Here is a 17,773-nt window from a genome sequence, read left to right on the forward strand (position 1 = left end):
TTCCTTCCTGCTGTTCAAGTTTACATCTGTTATCATTTCCCTTCTATCTAAAAACTTGCCTTAACAATTATTTTAGAGAAAATATACTGACATATTCTGGTTTCCTTCAACTGAGGATGTCTTTTTCTTACCTCCATTCATAAATACTATTTTTGCTGGATATAGAATTTGAAAGCAATCTTTTCTTTTTTATTAATCAGCACCCTTAGAATGTTGTGCCACTTTCTTTTGGCATCCATAGTTTCTGATTAGAAATCTGAAATAATTTGAATCACACTTTCCTATAGGAGATGCATCATTTTTCTCTTGCTACTTTCTTTTTTTTTTTTCTTTCCCCCTTCCAAAGACAAGATCTCACTCTGTCACCCAGGCTGGAGTGCAGTGATGCCATCACAACTCACTGCAGCCTCAACCTCCTAGGCTCAAACAATCCTCCCATCTCAGCCTCTCAAGTAGCTGGAAACACAGGGATGCACCACCATATCTGGCTAATTTTTTTAAAAAAATATTTTTGCAGCGATAAGGTCTCACTATGTTGCCCAGGCTGGTCTCAAACTCCTGGGCACAAGTGATTCTCCCACCTCAACCTCCCAAAATGCTGGGATGACAGGCATGAGCCACCGCACCTGGAAAAATTTTTTCGTCTTTGGGTTTCTTCAGGTTAATTATTATATCTGGGCATGGATTTTGGGTGGGATTATCCTGATTTAGATTTGTTTAGCTTTTTTAATCACTTGGTTTATATCTTTTGACAAATTTGGGGATTTTTCAGTCATTATTTCTTTTTTTTTTTTTTTTTTTTGAGACAGAGTCTCGCTCTGTCGCCCAAGCTGGAGTGCAGCGGCGTGATCTCCAATAACTGCAACCTCAGCCTCCCGGGTTCAAGCAATTCTCCTGCCTCAGCCTCCCGAGTAGCTGGAATTACAGGCACGTGCCACCACGCCCGGCTAATTTTTGTATTTTTAGTAGAGACAGGGTTTCACCATGTTGATCAGGTTGGTCTCGAATTTCTGACCTTGTGATTCACCCGCCTCAGCCTCCCAAAGTGCTAGGATTACAGGCGTGAGCCATCGCGCCCAGCCCCAGCCATTAGTTCTTGAACATTTTTTCTGCATTACACTCTTCCTCCTCTCCTTCTGGAATTCTGATGACACAAATATTAGACTTTTCAGTATTGTTCCATAGATTCTTGAGGGCTTGTTCATTTCAGATAAATCTTCTCTTCTATTTTTTGTTTCAGATTGGTAATGCCCAGTGTCAGGCCTCTGAGCCCAAGCCAAGCCATCGAATCCCCTGTGACTTGCACGTATATGCCAAGATGGCCTGAAGTAACTGAAGAATCACAAAAGAAGTGAAAATGCCCTGCCCCGCCTTAACTGATGACATTCCACCACAAAAGAAGTGTAAATGGCCGGTCCTTGCCTTAAGTGATGACATTACCTTGTGGAAGTCCCTTTTCCTGGCTCATCCTGGCTCAAAAACTCCCCCACTGAGCACCTTGCGACCCCCACTCCTGCCTGCCAGAGAACAAACCCCCTTTGACTGTAATTTTCCTTTACCTACCCAAATCTTATAAAACGGCCTCATCCCTATCTCCCTTCGCTGACTGTTTTCGGACTCAGCCTGCCTACACCCAGGTGATTAAAAGCTTTATTGCTCACACAAAGCCTGTTTGGTGGTCTCTTCACACAGATGCGCATGAAACCCAGTAATCTACTTCAAGTTTCCTAGCTCTTCCCTATGCCATCTCCATTACGTTTGTGAGCCTATCCAGTATTTTATTTCAATTATTGTCTTTTTATTTCTAAAATTTCCAATTAGTTCTTTATATCTTCTGTTTCTTTGTTGATATTTTTCTATCTTTCCATTCATACCCCAGGGCTGAGGGAGCACATCCAAGGAAGGGCCAACTTGGAAGGGGTTCAGCCCATCAGATAGCAGGTAAGTCCTCTGGTTTGGGCAGGCTAGTCTGGAGTTGCTGGGTAACTAATAGGAGAACCCCTCAAGTGCAGGTAGGGATGGCCAATCAGCAACTGGTGGCATGGGCATGTGATGGAAGTCCAGATGGCCTTCAGAGTGTGTGGACCACACAGGCACTTGCAGAAGGCATCGCAGGTTGGCATGTGACCCTCAGGGGCACAGGCAGCTGTGTGCAGGTAATATGCAGGCTTGTGAAGAAAGTCGAAATACAAGCACAGGCAGGAGTTCTTCAGAGCACGTGGGCTGCACAAGGGCTCTGTGTTCTGGCTCAAGAGAGCTGTAGAAAGGTGACTGCAAGGCCAAGGATGCAAAGTCGCAAAGGGACTGTTCTGAGCCCATGCTTGGGGCAGATTCCGATGGATATTCTCACATGCACACTGCTGATCCCCAGCCCACGCCAAAAAAAAGGCAGGAAGCCTCTTCCTACTACCTTGCCCCTCCAGTGCCTTCTACTGAGAAAGCACAGCACTGCGCTCACTTTAAAGGGCCAATATTTAAAGGAATGCCATTGTATAACACAGGGTATATTTATTGAGTGGCGCATTCAAAGCTGAGAAGCAGTAAGTTGATAACTGACACCGTGGGTAACCAATTTGGTTGAGTTCTGACCTCAAATTCCAACCTGCCTTCTGTGGGGTGTGATCCCCATGTCAGGTCTGTTTTCAGTCTTCGTGGTGCTATTCAGCTATGTTCCGTGTGCACCACCCAGTGGCCCGTCTACGGCGTGGCTGAAGGTCTATTCCAGTGTCCAGGTCTAACTTCTTTGGAGTGCTGGTTAGGGTCAGATCCACGCATGCGCAGCTAGGGGAGGAGCCCAGGAACAAACTTACGGAGCTGTTTCCTCCAAATTCCTCCCTCTCTGTGATCTCCCTGGTCCTTTCCTGATCGCTGGGCTCCCTTTTTCGGGCCTCTGGCCAAAAACTTGGTGTTGTAGTTACCCTGCTCTGCCGTGCACTTCCTACAACTGCACCCACAGTCGCGGCCAAGCAGCGAAGATTTAAGAAAGTAAGAAAGCGTGACGGTTTGCTCCACTCTTTTGGGCTATAGCTCCTCCAATCAGAAAAGGAAGGTTCTCTGCATGTCCCACTTTATGTGAAATCTAACAAAGTTGAACTCGTAGAAGTAGAGTGTAGAAAGAGATTGGGGCCGGGGAGGAAGGGAATGGGCAGTTACTGGTCAAAGGGTACAAAGTTTCAGATAGGTAGGAGGAATGTTTTGAAATCTATTGCATAGCAGGGCGACTATAGTCAATAATAAAGTATTGCATATTTCAAAATCACTGAAAGGGTAAATTTCAAATGTCTACCATAAAAATGATAGGTAAAAGAAGTGCATTTAATTTTTCTTTTACCACTTTTCTTACTCTGTTATCTTCAGCTCAGGAGTATCTAACCTGCAAAGATCTTAATTAAGGCTTTGGCTTTCGACTTAAAAGTCTCCATAAAGGAACGCTACGCATCATCCTGAAAATAAAGATCAAAGTCCACAGCCAGTGGTGAAGAAACATTAATAAGAGAATCAGTCAGCCTAGTTTTTTTGAGGAAATCTGTGCACAGATCCCAAGTCTACACATAAACCAAAAAGCCAAAGTAAAGTTAACTGTATTTGAGCAGTGTGGGCAGCCCAGCCAGCCACAGTAACTGAAGCTGGAAGAATTACTCCCTACACACAGGGCTCGTGTTCTCTAGATCAACCAGACACATCACAGACTCTGTTGTTGAGGTTCTTTCATTTCCTCAGGCCAGTTAGCCCTTGGCTAGTAGCCAGAGCTGTACATTAACTGCCCCTACATTTTTAAAATCATTGCTTATGAATTTCTATGTATTAACTTAGAGAAATGTAATTCTAGTTCCCATCTTAGAGGAATGGTCTCTTCTTAATGTCTTTGTGTTCTAAATATTTGATCATGTCAACAAAAAATGGCTTAATCATCTTTGATAAATTCCTGGAATTATGAAATTTAATTACCAAAGGCCCTGACATATTTTTAAGTAGTTATAAGTCATTACTACTCTCAGTATTTTGGTGGGAAAGAGCATATTCTGTCTGTCATCTAACCATGTTCACCATTTTCCCTGTGTTTTTAAAAAGCAGGAAAAGAAGTTCTCTTATACAATTAAGGGGGCGTTGAATGTGCCAGGATGTAAATCAGCATCTTGCGAAGTTTTGTTTGCAACATGTATAATGAAAACTGGAGACTAAGAACAGTAGGTGATGACCACATTTGCTAGAGATTTACATGTGATGTCCAGAGGTGCTGGGAAGCTATGACATACAAGATCCTAAGTGCCAGGTCCAGCCCAGCCCTTGGCATCCCATGTAGGACAGAGATAAGTCCAGACCTCTCTAGACAACTGGACAAATTTTACCTTAACCTAGAAGGTAGTAGTTCATGGGTGGGTTCTGAGACTGAGAAAGTAGTTCAAATGAGAGTCCATGTGTCAGTCCAGGGTAAGGAGGAGACCCTCCATCCAGGGGAGAAACCACACTGGGGAGCCCATAGGACACAGTTGTCAGGGACAGACACAGGTGCCAGTCCCTCAGCAGCTCAGGGGAGAGATCTCCTCACAAATTTACAAAGCTAATCTCTTCTTTGTAAAATAAACTCTAGTCAACACAATCTTTCAGGCAAAGACATAGAATGCAATGTCCTAAGCATTAACTTTCTTTAGGACTATAGAAATGTCATCATCATCATATGCTACCCCAACACAGAAAAGGGAAAAATTAACCTCTACGGGATCCAGTCAAGAGACCCTCAATACAAACAAAGCAATATCCTCTTATAGGAAACTTTACAACGAAGTAGATTCTACAAAGCAGCCTAAGTGTAAAGCTTCAGCCTGGACCCTCGTTGAATTTGACAGCAAAGTGTCATGGTTCCAAGACAGCATCTGATTCCGGTTCCCTGCTGTGGGTCTGGTTTTGTGTGGTTGTAGCAGAATTATGAGAACAAGCCTCCCTCAATTTGGGCTACACTGTCCACAGTCACAGAGCATCTTCCAGAGAAGAAAACACCTGCAATGATGAGACAGAAGGAGAACGGTGGCATCTCTCACTGTAAAGGAAAGAACACTGGGGCCACAAAGTGTCATCAGCCATGTTCCTCTCCAGTCCAAGGACTCCCAGACACTTAGTGTTCCAGCTCCTGAGTGAAAATGTTAACCATCAGCACACTCTCAAAGGTTAGATTAAGGAAAATAATGCCTGGAAAATCTTTTGTTTTAGTACAGGGCTGAGAAAACTTGATGGTAAATAATAGAGGTTTCCCAGGCCAATAAGCAAAATTGAAGATATATGTAGGCGTTTACATAACAAAGGAGAACCCTCTGGCGAGCCTCTCCCTGCTTGCCCCCAGAGAACCATCCGGAGTAGTTAGCATGTTTCATGTCCAGCTGCTGCTTGCCAAAAACATTCTCAGAACAAGAGGGACTAGCCCAAGAGGGAAAGGGCTAGTAGGTATGGTGAAAAAGGGGCAGGGTGGCTGGGTGCAGTGGCTCCCACCTGTAATCACAGCACTTTGGGAGGCTGAGGTGGGTGGATTGCTTAAGCTCAGGAGTTTGAGAGCAGCCTGGGCAACATGGCAAAACCCTGTCTTTACCAAAAATAAAAAATAAAATGAATAAATAAAATAGCTGGGTGGTGGCATGCATCTGTGGTCCCAGCTACTAAGGAGGTTGATGTGAGAGGATCACTTGGGCCTGGGAGGCAGATGTTGCAGTGAGCTGAGATTGCATCAGTGCACTCCAGCCTGGGTCTCAAAAAAACAAAAAGAGAGGGGAGAGGTTGGCAGGGGAAGGGGCCGGGGAGTGAGCCTGCTGCAGTCCATTTCTTTCTCTGCCCCAGTATCACCCAGACAGGTGCCTGTGTGTCCTTCTCTCCTCCCGTCATCACAAGTTGGATAGCTGGCTGGAAGCAAGGTGACCTACTCAGTCACCAGCTCCTGAACTGAGATTCCATTGCTTGGTTGCTAACAATAGAGTCTCCAATGTGTAGATGGCAACCAGGGTGGGCCCTGGACTGCAGCAAGGTACAGCTGGCCAGGTGGACAGGAGCTGAGAGCAGTGGGGGAGTAGAAACAGAAGAAAATACCCCAGCTTGGTCCCCAGATGCTCCAGCAGTGCCCACATTCCATATGTAAACAGGTGCCAGGCCTGCAGGTTATAGTTTACTGATCCTAGCTTTAGTGGACAATAAAATGTAAAATATTTTGCTTTGGTGGATGTGATGGTTTTAAACTATATCCACAAAGTCTTTCACATTCTTCCCTTTAAAAAGGTAGAACTTAATTCCTCCCCCCTTGAGCATGGGCTAGACTTAGTGACTCACTTCTAATGACTAGAATGTGGTGAAAGTAATGGTGTGTGGCTTCTGAGACTAGGTCTTCACTCTCTGTCAGATCACTCACTCTAGGAAGTCAGCTGCCATGTCATGATGATGCTCAAGCAGCCTTGTGGAAAAGCTTCACAAGGAGAGGAACTGAGGCCTCCTGTCAACAGCCATGAGAGGGGGCTGTCTTAAAAGCAGATCCTCCATCCCCAGTCAAGCCTTCAGATGACGGCAGCCCCTGTGGACATCTTGACCACAACTTCATGAGACCCTAAGCCAGAAACACTCAGCTAAACTGCCCTGGATTTCTGACTCTCAGAAACTGTGAGATAATAAATGTGTGTTATTCTAAACTAACAGTCTAGAATAAACTGTTATGCAGCAATAAATAACCAAGACAGTGGATTTTTATAAAAGACACTTTAAAAATCAGTCTTAACTTCTGGTGCCATCTGGTGTGCATGTTCAGCTGCCTCCTTGAATATGCACTTGGATGTCTCACACATATCTCAAAGAAACATGATGTTCTCCAAACTTGCTCCTTTAGAGTTTGTCCATCCTAGGCCTCCTTTAATTCCACACCTCAGGAATGACTCCATCATAATCTAGAAGATCTAGAAGTTACTTCTTTTTTTTTTTTTTTGAGATGAAGTCTCACTCTGTCACCCAGGCTGGAGTGCAGTGGCACAATCTCAGCTCACTGCAAACTTCACTTCCTGGGTTCAAGCAATTCTTCCTCAGCCTCCTGAGTAGCTGGGATTACAGGCAAAAGCCACCATATCCGGCTAATTTTTGTATTTTTAGTAGAGATAGGGTTTCACCATGTTGACCAGGCTAGTCTCAAACTCCTGACCTCAGGTGATCTGCCCGCCTCGGCATCCCAAAGTGCTGAGATTACAGGTATGAGCCACTGTACTCGGCCAGAAGTCACTTCTTTTGCTTCGTTTCCTCACTCTGCCCACCCACTATGCAGATAGTATGCACACACACACATGCATGCACACACACACACATTCATCCACACCTCCAGTTATCACCTACATCTTAGAGGGCATGCATTTCTCACCACCAACTAGTGTCACGCCTTGCCTCAGTTGGGGAAAGGCCCCCTAATTGGTCTCCTGGCTTCCCACTCAACCCCATCTTCTACTCAATAGTGAGAGTCACTTTCCAATGAGAACTAGATCATGCCACCACCTGGCACAAATCTCCCCAAGGCCTGCCTTTGAAATGAGAATGAGATCCCAGCTTTCCACAGAGGCAGTGAGCCCCTGGCATGGTCTGCCCTCGGCCTGCCCATCCCACCTCACCCCTCCTGCTCCCCTCCTCTGTGCTTATCCACCCCACGCCTCTTCCCCCTCAGAGCTCAGCACACACTGCTCCCTCAGCCTAGAGCATTCCTCCCCAAGTCACATGGCTTCCTCCCCACACCCCTGGAACCCACCTTAAATGTTTTCTCCTGTCTGGCCTTCCCAGCCTCCTCATCTAAAGTAAACCCGCCTGTTATTTTATTTCTCAGTCTACTGTTTATTTGCATCACAATACTTCATGCAAGTTAAAGTATTTGATTCATTATATTTTGTCTGTCCATGGACCAAGCCATAGACGAGCCACAGTTTACTGACAGGAGCAGCCACTTGGGAGTCCCCAGACTTGGGTTCACACACCGGCCCCCATGAGTTCAGCTGAGCAGGTCATACTGTAGCATACGATGGGAACTGGTGGGGCCTCTCCATCACCTTGTCCAAGCCCCTGCAGACAGAGGTGTGCTATGGCCATCAAATGAGGGGGTTTTGAGTAGTCCAAGGGCTACAGATGCCAGTCTCCTGCTTCTGAACCTCAACACAGAAACCGTGTGTACTGAGCCAGTGTACTTAGTTTGTATTTCTGTTTTTCAATGCCTAGGAACCCTAAGTGACATTTATGGACATTCATTAAATGCAGAAAGACAGAAGCCTTGTCCATGACTCCAAGTTCCCAATCTAGAGGGGAGAGCATCAAAGGATATATTTGAGCACAGCACGTTCATTAGACAACAGAGGCTGAACCAACCCCTGTAGAAGCCAAAAGAGAAAGGGTGGGGGAGGGGTTGGGAGAGTCCTGCAGGGACCTTGAGGAAGGGGAAAGGGCTGACAGGGCAGGTTTGGCTGAATAACTTTCCACACCCTCCTCCCCAACCCAGTTATATCAGAACCACTTTACAGAGCCATCCACTTTACAGAGCCATCCACTTTACAGAGCCAGAGGGCATGACTGGAAAAACATGTCCCCTGGCACCAGGGCACTAGTCTCCACTCAGAAGTCATATGCCAGGGGGAGGGGGGGTTTTCCGGTCACCTAGTCCTCTCCCTTCTTGTCAAATTACACTGGGTTGCTAGGTAGGAGGTGTGGAGTGGGTGCAGGGTTAACCTCTCAGAGCATCCTAAGAAGGATCTGGGGGAGTTTGGGAGGAGACTCAACAAAGTCTGGGAGGAGACTCACCTCATCATGCAGGTGCCAAGCCATTCTTGGCACTCCCACTGGGAGGCTGGGAGGGGGACAGGAGCAAGGGATGGAGCAGGAGAGGAGGACGGAGCTGATGCCAGAGGTCACCTTAACCAGCCATGCAGAGAGAGGCTCTCTCCTCCACACCTGCCCCTCAGAACTCCCAGGACCCCTCCACCCCAGGCTGCCCAGCTCCAAGCCCTCCACAGCACCCTTCCAGGCGTGTCATCAATGTAAGGAAAACCTCTATCATCAGCCTTGCTGTATCCAAGAGAACCACTGTAACCCATGGGAATTTCTGGGGGCACCAAGATACAATGGGCAATAATATGACAACCAAGGAGCTTTGGTGACTCACAAATTCCATTCTATCCTCACATAAGGCCACTGCCTGGACACCAGCGTTGGAATGAACGCAGTGAGTTTTCTGATAGAAACGGGGGTAAATAGGAGCTAAATAGTCAAGTAAGGTCAGTATAGTCAGCCAAATTCTGAATTAAATGACATTTATGCCACATGATCAGAGTTTCCCTGGGGACTTCTGATTAATTTTATTGTAATTTGTTTAGCTAGAAAATCCAGCCAGGGGAGGCAGAGGGTCCAGACGGGATTAAGAGGGCAATTCCAAGGCCAAGCTGCCTGGGCGGGAGCCCTGCCTACCCACTCTCTGGCCACATGTCCCTGAGAACACAGCCTAACCTCTCTGAGCCTGATGTTCTCATGTGGACGTGATGGAGCAAACAGCACTGAGCTCACAGGTTGGCGAGAACATCACATAGGATCATTGTGTCAAGAGCTTAAGACAGTACCTGGCACCTAGCAAGATCAAAAAAAAGTTCAATCATTTAAAGAAAAAAGAAAGGAAACTAAGAATCCCTGTCACCAATTAAATGTAAGACAAAAACAAGAGGTATGTGAGCATCCGAGGGTTTTTCCTCCACCTGGCATGATTAGCAGAGGTTCTTTGGGTGAATAATGGGTGAACCCCCCAGTCCCTGAGTTCTGGGAGAGGGTTTGGTCCAGCAGAAGAGCTAGCAACAGGGCAGAGCCGCTAACAAGCCAGACAATTCCTCCTCCTCTGGGTCTCCAGTCACTTTCCGCCCTTGCCTCAGGCCTGTCCCCACCCCAAGCCAGGGGGCGTGAGACGCTGGAAGAAAAGACTTCCCCGCCAGGGCCATGTGTCAATCATACCATTCAGGACACAAACAAAGTTGATTTATCTCCCCTGGACAGCGCTTTGGACCAGAAAGCTTTGGGCTCAGCCTTGGGCGCCGGAGCAGTACGCGCAGGGGAACTGCTAAGCCGGAGCAAGATTCACTCGCGGGGACCCCTGCCTCCCCACGCTCTCTCCTTTCTCGCCTTCCCACCATAGTCCTGGACCTCAGATAACGGTGGATGCCTAAGCCCCAGCCGCTGTCCGGTTAGGGACGTTTACCCCTGTCGCTCCGGCAGATTGCAGGTCACCAAGGCACAGAGGAAGGATTAAACAACTGAGCGCCCGGGGCACCGGCCATCCGCCCGCGTCCTCCCACGGGGAGCGCAAGGCCCCCGCTCCCGCCCCCCGGCCACCTCGGACGCCCAGCGCTTACCTGCCCCGAGGGGCGGGCACTGACAGTCCTGGCCTGCCCGCCGCGGCTGTTTACACCGCAGAGGCTGTTTACACCGCAGAGGCTGTTTACACCCGCTGAGCAGCACGGCCGAGCCGGAAGAAGCCTCCCGTGCCTGTGCGCTAACAGGCTATATTTGTAGGCGGATAATATGATCTGGAGGACATGTGCTAAATCAACTATCTATCTATTCTATGTGACTCAGCCCAGCCTGAGACAAAACAGACTTCGTAGGGGAGGGCTTGGCACCCTGCGCGCTGCAGCCGGCCAGCGCGAGCCCCGGCCCAGGGACTATCTGCAGCCTCCTACCCAGGGCCAGACATTTTCACACTGGAGATCCCGGAGGGTGTGGAATGGAAGGGAGCTGGTTCCGAGTGCTCAGCACGCTAAGCTGGGAACCCAGCCAGACGCAGGCTTTGAAAGCCATATGACCAAGGGAATGTAAAAGTGTTTTCGATGTTGGAAGCAGCAGACATCGAAGGTCTCAATTTCACCGTTACATTTTATCTTTTTAATATCCTAAAATGTATGTGAGTTTAGGTTCTCTTTAGATACTTTACTAATTGGCCAAATATGTTTTGCTGATAGCCGACATCGTGAAAATATGACAAGTTAATAATCAGTAATCAACTCCCTGGCTGCTCCCAGGAGTCCATGTGAACACGTCCTGATCCTTAATGGCAATGGCTCCTCATATCCCTTAGCCTAAACTGAAAAATACCTTTTGTGTGATATATGTGTCATACTTCTAAAATTCATTTCCTTAAAAATCATTATTTTCTTTTCTTTTCTTTTTTTTTTTTTTTTTTTGAGAGGAGTCTCACTGTCGCCCACGCTGGAGTGCAGTGGTGTGATCTCGGCTCACTGCAACCTGCGCCTCCCGGGTTCAAGCGATCCTCCTGCCTCAGCCTCCCCAGTAGCTGGGATTACAGGCGCCTGCCACCACGCGCGGCTAATTTTTGTATTTTTGTAGAGATGGGGTTTCACCATGTTGGCCAGGCTGGTCTAGAATTCCTGACCTCAGGTGACCCGCCCACCTCGGCCTCCCAAAGTGCTGGAATTACAGGCATGAGCCACCGTGCCTGGCCTTTTGAAAATAATGCTTTTTGGTGGGGCACGGTGGCTCACGCCTGTAATCCCAGCACTTTGGGAGGCCGAGGCAGGTGGATCACCTGAGGTCGGGAGTTTGAGACCAGCCTGGCCAACAGGGAGAAACCCCGTCTCTACTAAAAATATAAAATTAGCTGGGCGTAGTGGCAGGCGCCTGCAATCCCAGCTACTGGGGAGGCTGAGGCAGGAGAATTGCTTGAACCCGGGAGGCCGAGGTTGCAGTGAGCCGAGATCGCACCATTGCACTCCAGCCTGAGCAACAAGAGCGAAATTCTGTCTCAAAAAAAAAAGGACTTTTATCTGAGAAATGCAAGTTTTTTTCATTATCAGGCCCAAGGAGACATTAAAATGAAACTGCACTCATGCCCTACTCCCCTCTTTGAGCTATATGTCTTCATCTCTTGAAATTACTTGCTATTGTCACAAGTAGCTGTAAATTAGCCTAATAGCAACACGCCAGACACTATAACCACACCCTATAGCTAAAGGATATATAGCCAATCACTTATCAATGTTATTTCTGTAAACCAATGAAAATTCATAACAAATAACTTTATATCAATCCCTCTCTGTCTCCTTCTTTTACTTTTAAAAATCCACTCATTGAGCAACTGTATGCCAATAAATTGGAAAGTCTAGAAGAAATGAACAAACTTCTAGGTACATACAACCTACAAAGATTGAATCAGGAAGAAATTCAAAACCTGAACAGACCAATAACAAGTAACAAGATCAAGGCTGTAATAAAAAGTCTCCCAGTAAAAAAATGCCCAGAACCTGATGGCTTCACTGCTGAATTCTACCAAACATTTAAAGAAGAGCTAATACCAATCCTACCCAAACTATTCCAGAAAATAGAGGAGGAAGGGATACTTGCAAACTCATTTTATAGGCCAGTATTACCCTGATACCAAAACCAGAGAAAGACACATCAAAAAAAAAGAAAACTACAGGTCAAAATTCATCTCTGATGAATATTGATGCAAAAATCTTCAACAAAAATACTGGCAAGCCGAATTCAGCACTACATTAGAAAGATCATTCACCATGACCAAGTGGAATTTATGCCTGGGATACAAGGATAGTTCAACATACACAAATCAATTGACACAATACATCAGATTAACAGAATAAAGGATAAAAATCATATGATCATTTTAACTGATGCTGAAAAAGCACTGGATAAAATTCAACATTCCTTTATGATAAAAACCCTCAAAAAAACTGAGTTTTGAAGGAACATACCTCAACATAATAAAAGCCATATATGACAGATCCACAGCTAGTATCCTTACTGAATGGGGAAAAACTGAAAGCCCTTCTTCTAATATCTGGAACACAGCAAGGATGCCCACTGTCACCACTGTTATTCAACATAGAACTGGAAGTCCTAGCTAGAGCAATCAGACAAGAGAAAGATATAAAGGGCATCCAAATTGGAAAGGAAGAAGTTAAATTATCTGTTTGCTAATGATATGGTCTTATATTTGGAAAAACCTAAAGATTCCACAAGAAAACTATTAGAACTGATAAACTAAACAAATTCAGTAAAGTTGCAAGAAACAAAATCAACATACAAAAACCAGTAGCAGGCTGGGCACAGTGGCTCACACCTGTAATCCCAGCACTTTGGGAGGCCATGGCAGGTGGATTGCTGGACCCTAGGAGTTTGAGACCAGCTTGAGCAACATGGCAAAACCCCATCTCTACAAAAAAAAAAAAAATACAAAAATTAACCAGGCATGGTGGTATATACCTGTAGTCCCAGCTACTTGGGAGGCTGAGGTAGGAGGATAATCTGAGCCCAGGAGTCAGAAGTTGCAGTGAACCGAGATTGTGCCATTGCACTCCAGCCTGGGAAACAGAGACCCTGTCTTAAAAAAAAAAAAAAAAAAAAAAAAAAGTCAGTAGCATTTCTATAGGCCAACAGTGAACAATATGAAAATGAAATTTAAAAAGTAATCCCATGTACAATAACCACACATAAAATTAAATACCTAGGAATTAACTTAACCAAAGAAGTGAAAGATCTCTATAATAAAAACTATAAAACGCTGATGAAGGAAATTGAAGAAAATACCAAAAAATGGAAAAACATTCCATGTTCATGTGTTGGAAGAATCAATGTTGCTAAAATGTCCACACTACCCTAAGCAATCTACAGATTCAACGCAGTCCCTATCAAAATACTGGACATTTTTCACAGAAATAGAAAAAACAATTCTAAAATTTATATGAAACCACAGAAGACCCAGAATAGCCAAAGCTACCCTAAGCAAAATAACAAAACTGGAGAAATCACATTACCTGACTTCAAATTATACCACAGAGCTATAGTAACCAAAACAGCATGGTACTGGCATAAAAACAGACACATAGACCATGGAACAGAATAGAGAACCCAGAAACAAATCCACACACCTACAGTGAACTCATTTTTGACAAAGGAACCAAGAACATATGCTAGGGAAAAGAACAGTCTCTTCAATAAAAGGTGCTGGGAAAACAGGATATCCATATGCAAAAGAATGAAACTAGACCCCTATCTCTCACCACATACAAAAATCAAATCAAAATGGATTAAAGACTTAAATCTAAGACTTCAAACTATGAAACTACTACAAGAAAACATTGGGCAAAATCCCCAAGACCTTGGTCTGGTCAATGCCATAACCACAGGCCACAACCACACAAATACCCCACAAACACAGGCAACCAAAGCAAAAATGGACAAATAGGATTACATCAAGTTAAAAAGCTTCTGCATAGCAAAGGATAAAATCAACAAAGTGAAGAGACAACCCACAGAAAGGGAGAAAATATTTTCAAACTACCCATTTGATAAGAGATTAATAATGAGAATATATAAGGAGCTCAACGCTATAGGAAAAAAATCTAACAATCTGATCAAAAAAACTGGGCAAAAGATTTGAATAGATTTCTCAAAAGAAGATATACAAATGGCACACAGGCATATGAAAGGATGCTCAACATCACTGATCATCAGAGAAATGCAGATCAAAACTACAATAAGATATCATCTCAACTCAGTTAAAATGGCTTATATCCAAAAGACAGGCAATAACAAATGCTGGTGAGGATGTGGAGAAAGGGAACCCTTGTACACTGTTAGAGGGAATGTAAATTAGTACAACCACTATGGAGAACAGTTTGGAGATTCCTCAAAAAACTAAAAATTGAGCTACCATATGAGCCAGAATTCTACTGCTGGGTATACACACAAAAGAAAGGAAATCAGTATATCAAAGAGATATCTGCATTCCTGTTTGTTGCAGCACTGTTTACAATAACCAAGATTTGGAAGCAACCTAAGTGTCCATCAGCAGATGAATGGATAAAGAAAATGTGGTACATATACACAATGGAATACTATTCAGCCATAAAAAAGAATGAGATCCAGTCATTTGCAATGACATGAATGGAACTGGAGATGATTATGTTAAGTGAAATAAGCCAGGCACTGAAAGACAAACATCCCATGTTCTCACTTCTTTGTGGGATCTAAAAATCAAAGTAGCGCTGGGTGTGGTGGTTCGTGCCTGTAATCCCAGCACTTTGGAAGGCCGAGTCAGGTGGATCACCTGAGGTCCGGAGTTCGAGACCAGCCTGTCCAACATAGTGAAACCCTGTCTCTACTAAAAATACAAAAAATTAGCCAGGCATAGTGGCAGGCACCTGTAATCCCAGCAACTCAGGAGGCTGAGGCAGGAGAATCATCTGAACCCTGGAGGTGGAGGTTGCAGTGAGCTGAGACTGTGTCACAGCCCTCCAGCCTGGGAGACAAGAGTGAGACTCCGTCTCAAAAAAAAAAAAAAAGAAAAGAAAAGAAATTAGCCAGGTGTGGTGGCACGTGCCCGTAGTCCCAGCTACTCGGGAAGCTGAGGCATGAAAATCACTTGAACCCAGCAGCAGGTAGAGGCTGCAGTAAGCCAAGATGGCACCACTGCACTACAGCCTGGGCAACATAGCAAGACTCCATCTCAAAAAAATAAAATAGCCATTAAGAGCTGTATGTGATCAAATACAAAATCCACCACGTAAGAAGCACTTGTTTTTTTATTGTTGTTGTTTGTTTTTTTGTTTTTTTTTTTTTTGTTTTTTTTTTTTGAGATGGAGTTTCACTCTTGTTGCCCAGGCTGGAGTGCAATGGCCTGATCTCAGCTCACCACAACCTCTGCCCCCCGGGTTCAAGCAATTCTCCTGCCTCAGCCTCCTGAGTAGCTCGGATTACAGGCACCCGCCACCACGCCTGGCTAATTTTGTATTTTCAGCAGAGACAGGGTTTCTGAATGTTGGTTAGGCTGGTCTCAAACTCCTGACCTCAGGTGATCCACCTGCCTTGGCCTCCGAAAGCGCTGGGATTACAGGCATGAGCCACCCCACCGGCTTAAGAAGCACTTTTAAATTAGATTGTCCAGGTCATGAAAACCAAGTGAGACCCCAGCTTGCCTCCCAAGTCTAACTCCTGGGAGTCTGTCTGCCCATCTATCTGTCTGCTGGGGCCAAATGGCCTTGACTTGGTTGGTAGGAAATTAGGAAGTGACTGCCTCCTCACCATCAGCAGCTTACTGATCACACTAAAATGGCACTTCATTTAGATTACTGGGCTTGTCTTATCTCGGGGGAGGGGAGATGGGAGCAGGAGCCCTACCTTGGAAATCTCTGTCTACCCCATCGTGCTAAGCACAGATAGCTGATCAGTAAATATTTGTTGAATTTAATTGAAAAAAATTAAGATTTTAGTGTAAAAGAATTCTAAATTATAGCTATGTCTAAAAGTCTAAATCAGGGCTCGGCACGGTGGCTCATGCCTGTAATCCCAGCACTTTGAGAGGCCAAGGCAGGCAGATTGCCTGAGGTCAGGAGTTCGAGACCAGCCTGGCCAACATGGTGAAACCTCTTCTGTACTAAAAATACAAAATTAGCCAGGCATGGTGGCGCACACCTGTAATCCCAGCTATCTAGGAGGCTGAGGCAGGGGAATCGCTTGAACCTGGGAAGCAGAGGTTGCGGTGAGCCAAGATCGTGCCATTGCACTCCAGCCTGAGCATCAAGAGTGAAACTCCATCTCAAAAAAAAAAAGGTTAAATCAGATTTTCCATAGTCTAACATGGTTCCCAGTAAGTACATCAAAATTATCTTGTCTTATATGTGTTAAATGCTCTTTTTTTTTTTTTTTGAGACGGAGTCTCACTCTGTCACCCAGGCTGGAGTGCAGTGGCGCGATCTCGGCTCACTGCAAGCTCTGCCTCCCGGGTTCACGCCATTCTCCTGCCTCAGCCTCCTGAGTAGCTGGGACTACAGGCGCCCACCACCACACCCGGCTAATTTTTTGTATTTTTAGTAGAGACGGGGCTTCACTGTGTTAGCCAGGATGGTCTCGATCTCCTGACCTCGTGATCTGCCCGCCTCGGCCTCCTAAAGTGCTGGGATTCCAGGCGTGAGCCACCGCGCCCGGCCGTATATGGTAAATACTCTTAACAAGTTGCCCAGAATTCAGCCCAGAATATCAGTGGTGGTTTGGGTTACGTATTTCAAATTTGTCTTTTTTCCCTTCTTTGCTGGGGGAAGAGGGTATTCTTTGTTTTATTTCTAGGATGAGGCTTGAGGAAACAAGTTGTTTTCCTGTGGCACTTCTCAAGGACCTTGCCCTCGCCCCAACCCCATTTTAGAAAATAGGGCTGAGATTTAATATGTGTCTGTCACAGATGTGGCTGGTGGAGAAAGACTAAGCCAAAAGAAAATCAGCACAGGTAAACACTGCACTAGAGGTTGGAGAAGCTAAGGTTTCTGGAAGACCAGATTTCTGGACCTCTTAGTCCAAGGGAATAAAGGATAGGGGGAAGAGTTGGTGAAAGACAAACACACACACACACACACACACACACACACACACACAAAGCAGTTTACAATACAGTGAGACCGAGCAAGGTGACTCATGCCTGTAATCCCAGCACTTTGGGAGGCTGAGGCAGGCAGATTGCCTGAGGTTGGGAGTTTGAAACCAGCCTGGCCAACATGGTAAAACCCCGTCTCTACTAAAAACACAAAATTAGCCAGGTGTGGTGGCTCATGCCTGTAATCCCAGCTACTCAGGGGACTGAGGCAGGAGAATCGCTTGAACCTGGGAGGTGGAGGTTGCGGTGAGCTGAGATCGCGCCATTGCACTCCAGCCTGGGCAGAAAGAGTGAAACTCCATCTAAAAAAAAAAAAAAAAAAAAAATATATATATATATATATAT

At 45.5% G+C, this 17,773-nt stretch overlaps 1 protein-coding gene and 1 long non-coding RNA gene across 2 annotated transcripts in view, besides 5 other annotated features; one reads left to right on the forward strand and one right to left on the reverse strand.

Moving 5' to 3' along the window:
* Window positions 1–10,508, reverse strand: part of LRRC2 (leucine rich repeat containing 2) — a 50,918-nt gene extending 40,410 nt beyond the window's left edge. The window contains exon 1 of the mRNA NM_024512.5: window positions 10,383–10,508. The gene's annotated coding sequence lies outside the window, so the exon portion shown is untranslated. The remainder of the gene's footprint in view (window positions 1–10,382) is intronic.
* Window positions 897–1,498: an enhancer, noted in NCBI's record as "OCT4-NANOG-H3K27ac-H3K4me1 hESC enhancer chr3:46598181-46598782 (GRCh37/hg19 assembly coordinates)". NCBI's record gives its function as "activates a minimal SCP1, AML or CMV promoter by ChIP-STARR-seq in naive H9 embryonic stem cells {active_cell/tissue: H9 hESC(naive)}" and the evidence as "EXISTENCE:reporter gene assay evidence [ECO:0000049][PMID:30033119]".
* LRRC2-AS1 (LRRC2 antisense RNA 1) lies at window positions 1,604–3,894 on the forward strand. Its single transcript, NR_073385.1, has 3 exons — window positions 1,604–1,637; window positions 1,880–1,941; window positions 3,358–3,894. It is a non-coding gene; the product is annotated as an LRRC2 antisense RNA 1 (long non-coding RNA).
* Window positions 7,123–7,624: an enhancer, noted in NCBI's record as "H3K4me1 hESC enhancer chr3:46604407-46604908 (GRCh37/hg19 assembly coordinates)". NCBI's record gives its function as "activates a minimal SCP1, AML or CMV promoter by ChIP-STARR-seq in naive H9 embryonic stem cells {active_cell/tissue: H9 hESC(naive)}" and the evidence as "EXISTENCE:reporter gene assay evidence [ECO:0000049][PMID:30033119]".
* Window positions 8,296–9,206: an enhancer, noted in NCBI's record as "H3K4me1 hESC enhancer chr3:46605580-46606490 (GRCh37/hg19 assembly coordinates)". NCBI's record gives its function as "activates a minimal SCP1, AML or CMV promoter by ChIP-STARR-seq in primed H9 embryonic stem cells {active_cell/tissue: H9 hESC(primed)}" and the evidence as "EXISTENCE:reporter gene assay evidence [ECO:0000049][PMID:30033119]".
* Window positions 9,207–10,117: an enhancer, noted in NCBI's record as "H3K27ac-H3K4me1 hESC enhancer chr3:46606491-46607401 (GRCh37/hg19 assembly coordinates)". NCBI's record gives its function as "activates a minimal SCP1, AML or CMV promoter by ChIP-STARR-seq in primed H9 embryonic stem cells {active_cell/tissue: H9 hESC(primed)}" and the evidence as "EXISTENCE:reporter gene assay evidence [ECO:0000049][PMID:30033119]".
* Window positions 10,385–10,679: an enhancer, noted in NCBI's record as "tiled region #12028; HepG2 Activating non-DNase unmatched - State 4:PromP, and K562 Activating DNase matched - State 4:PromP". NCBI's record gives its function as "activates a minimal TATA promoter and a strong SV40 promoter by Sharpr-MPRA in HepG2 and K562 cells {active_cell/tissue: HepG2 | K562}" and the evidence as "EXISTENCE:reporter gene assay evidence [ECO:0000049][PMID:27701403]".

Source organism: Homo sapiens, chromosome 3, assembly GCF_000001405.40.
Source record: "Homo sapiens chromosome 3, GRCh38.p14 Primary Assembly".
Taxonomy (NCBI): domain Eukaryota; kingdom Metazoa; phylum Chordata; class Mammalia; order Primates; family Hominidae; genus Homo; species Homo sapiens.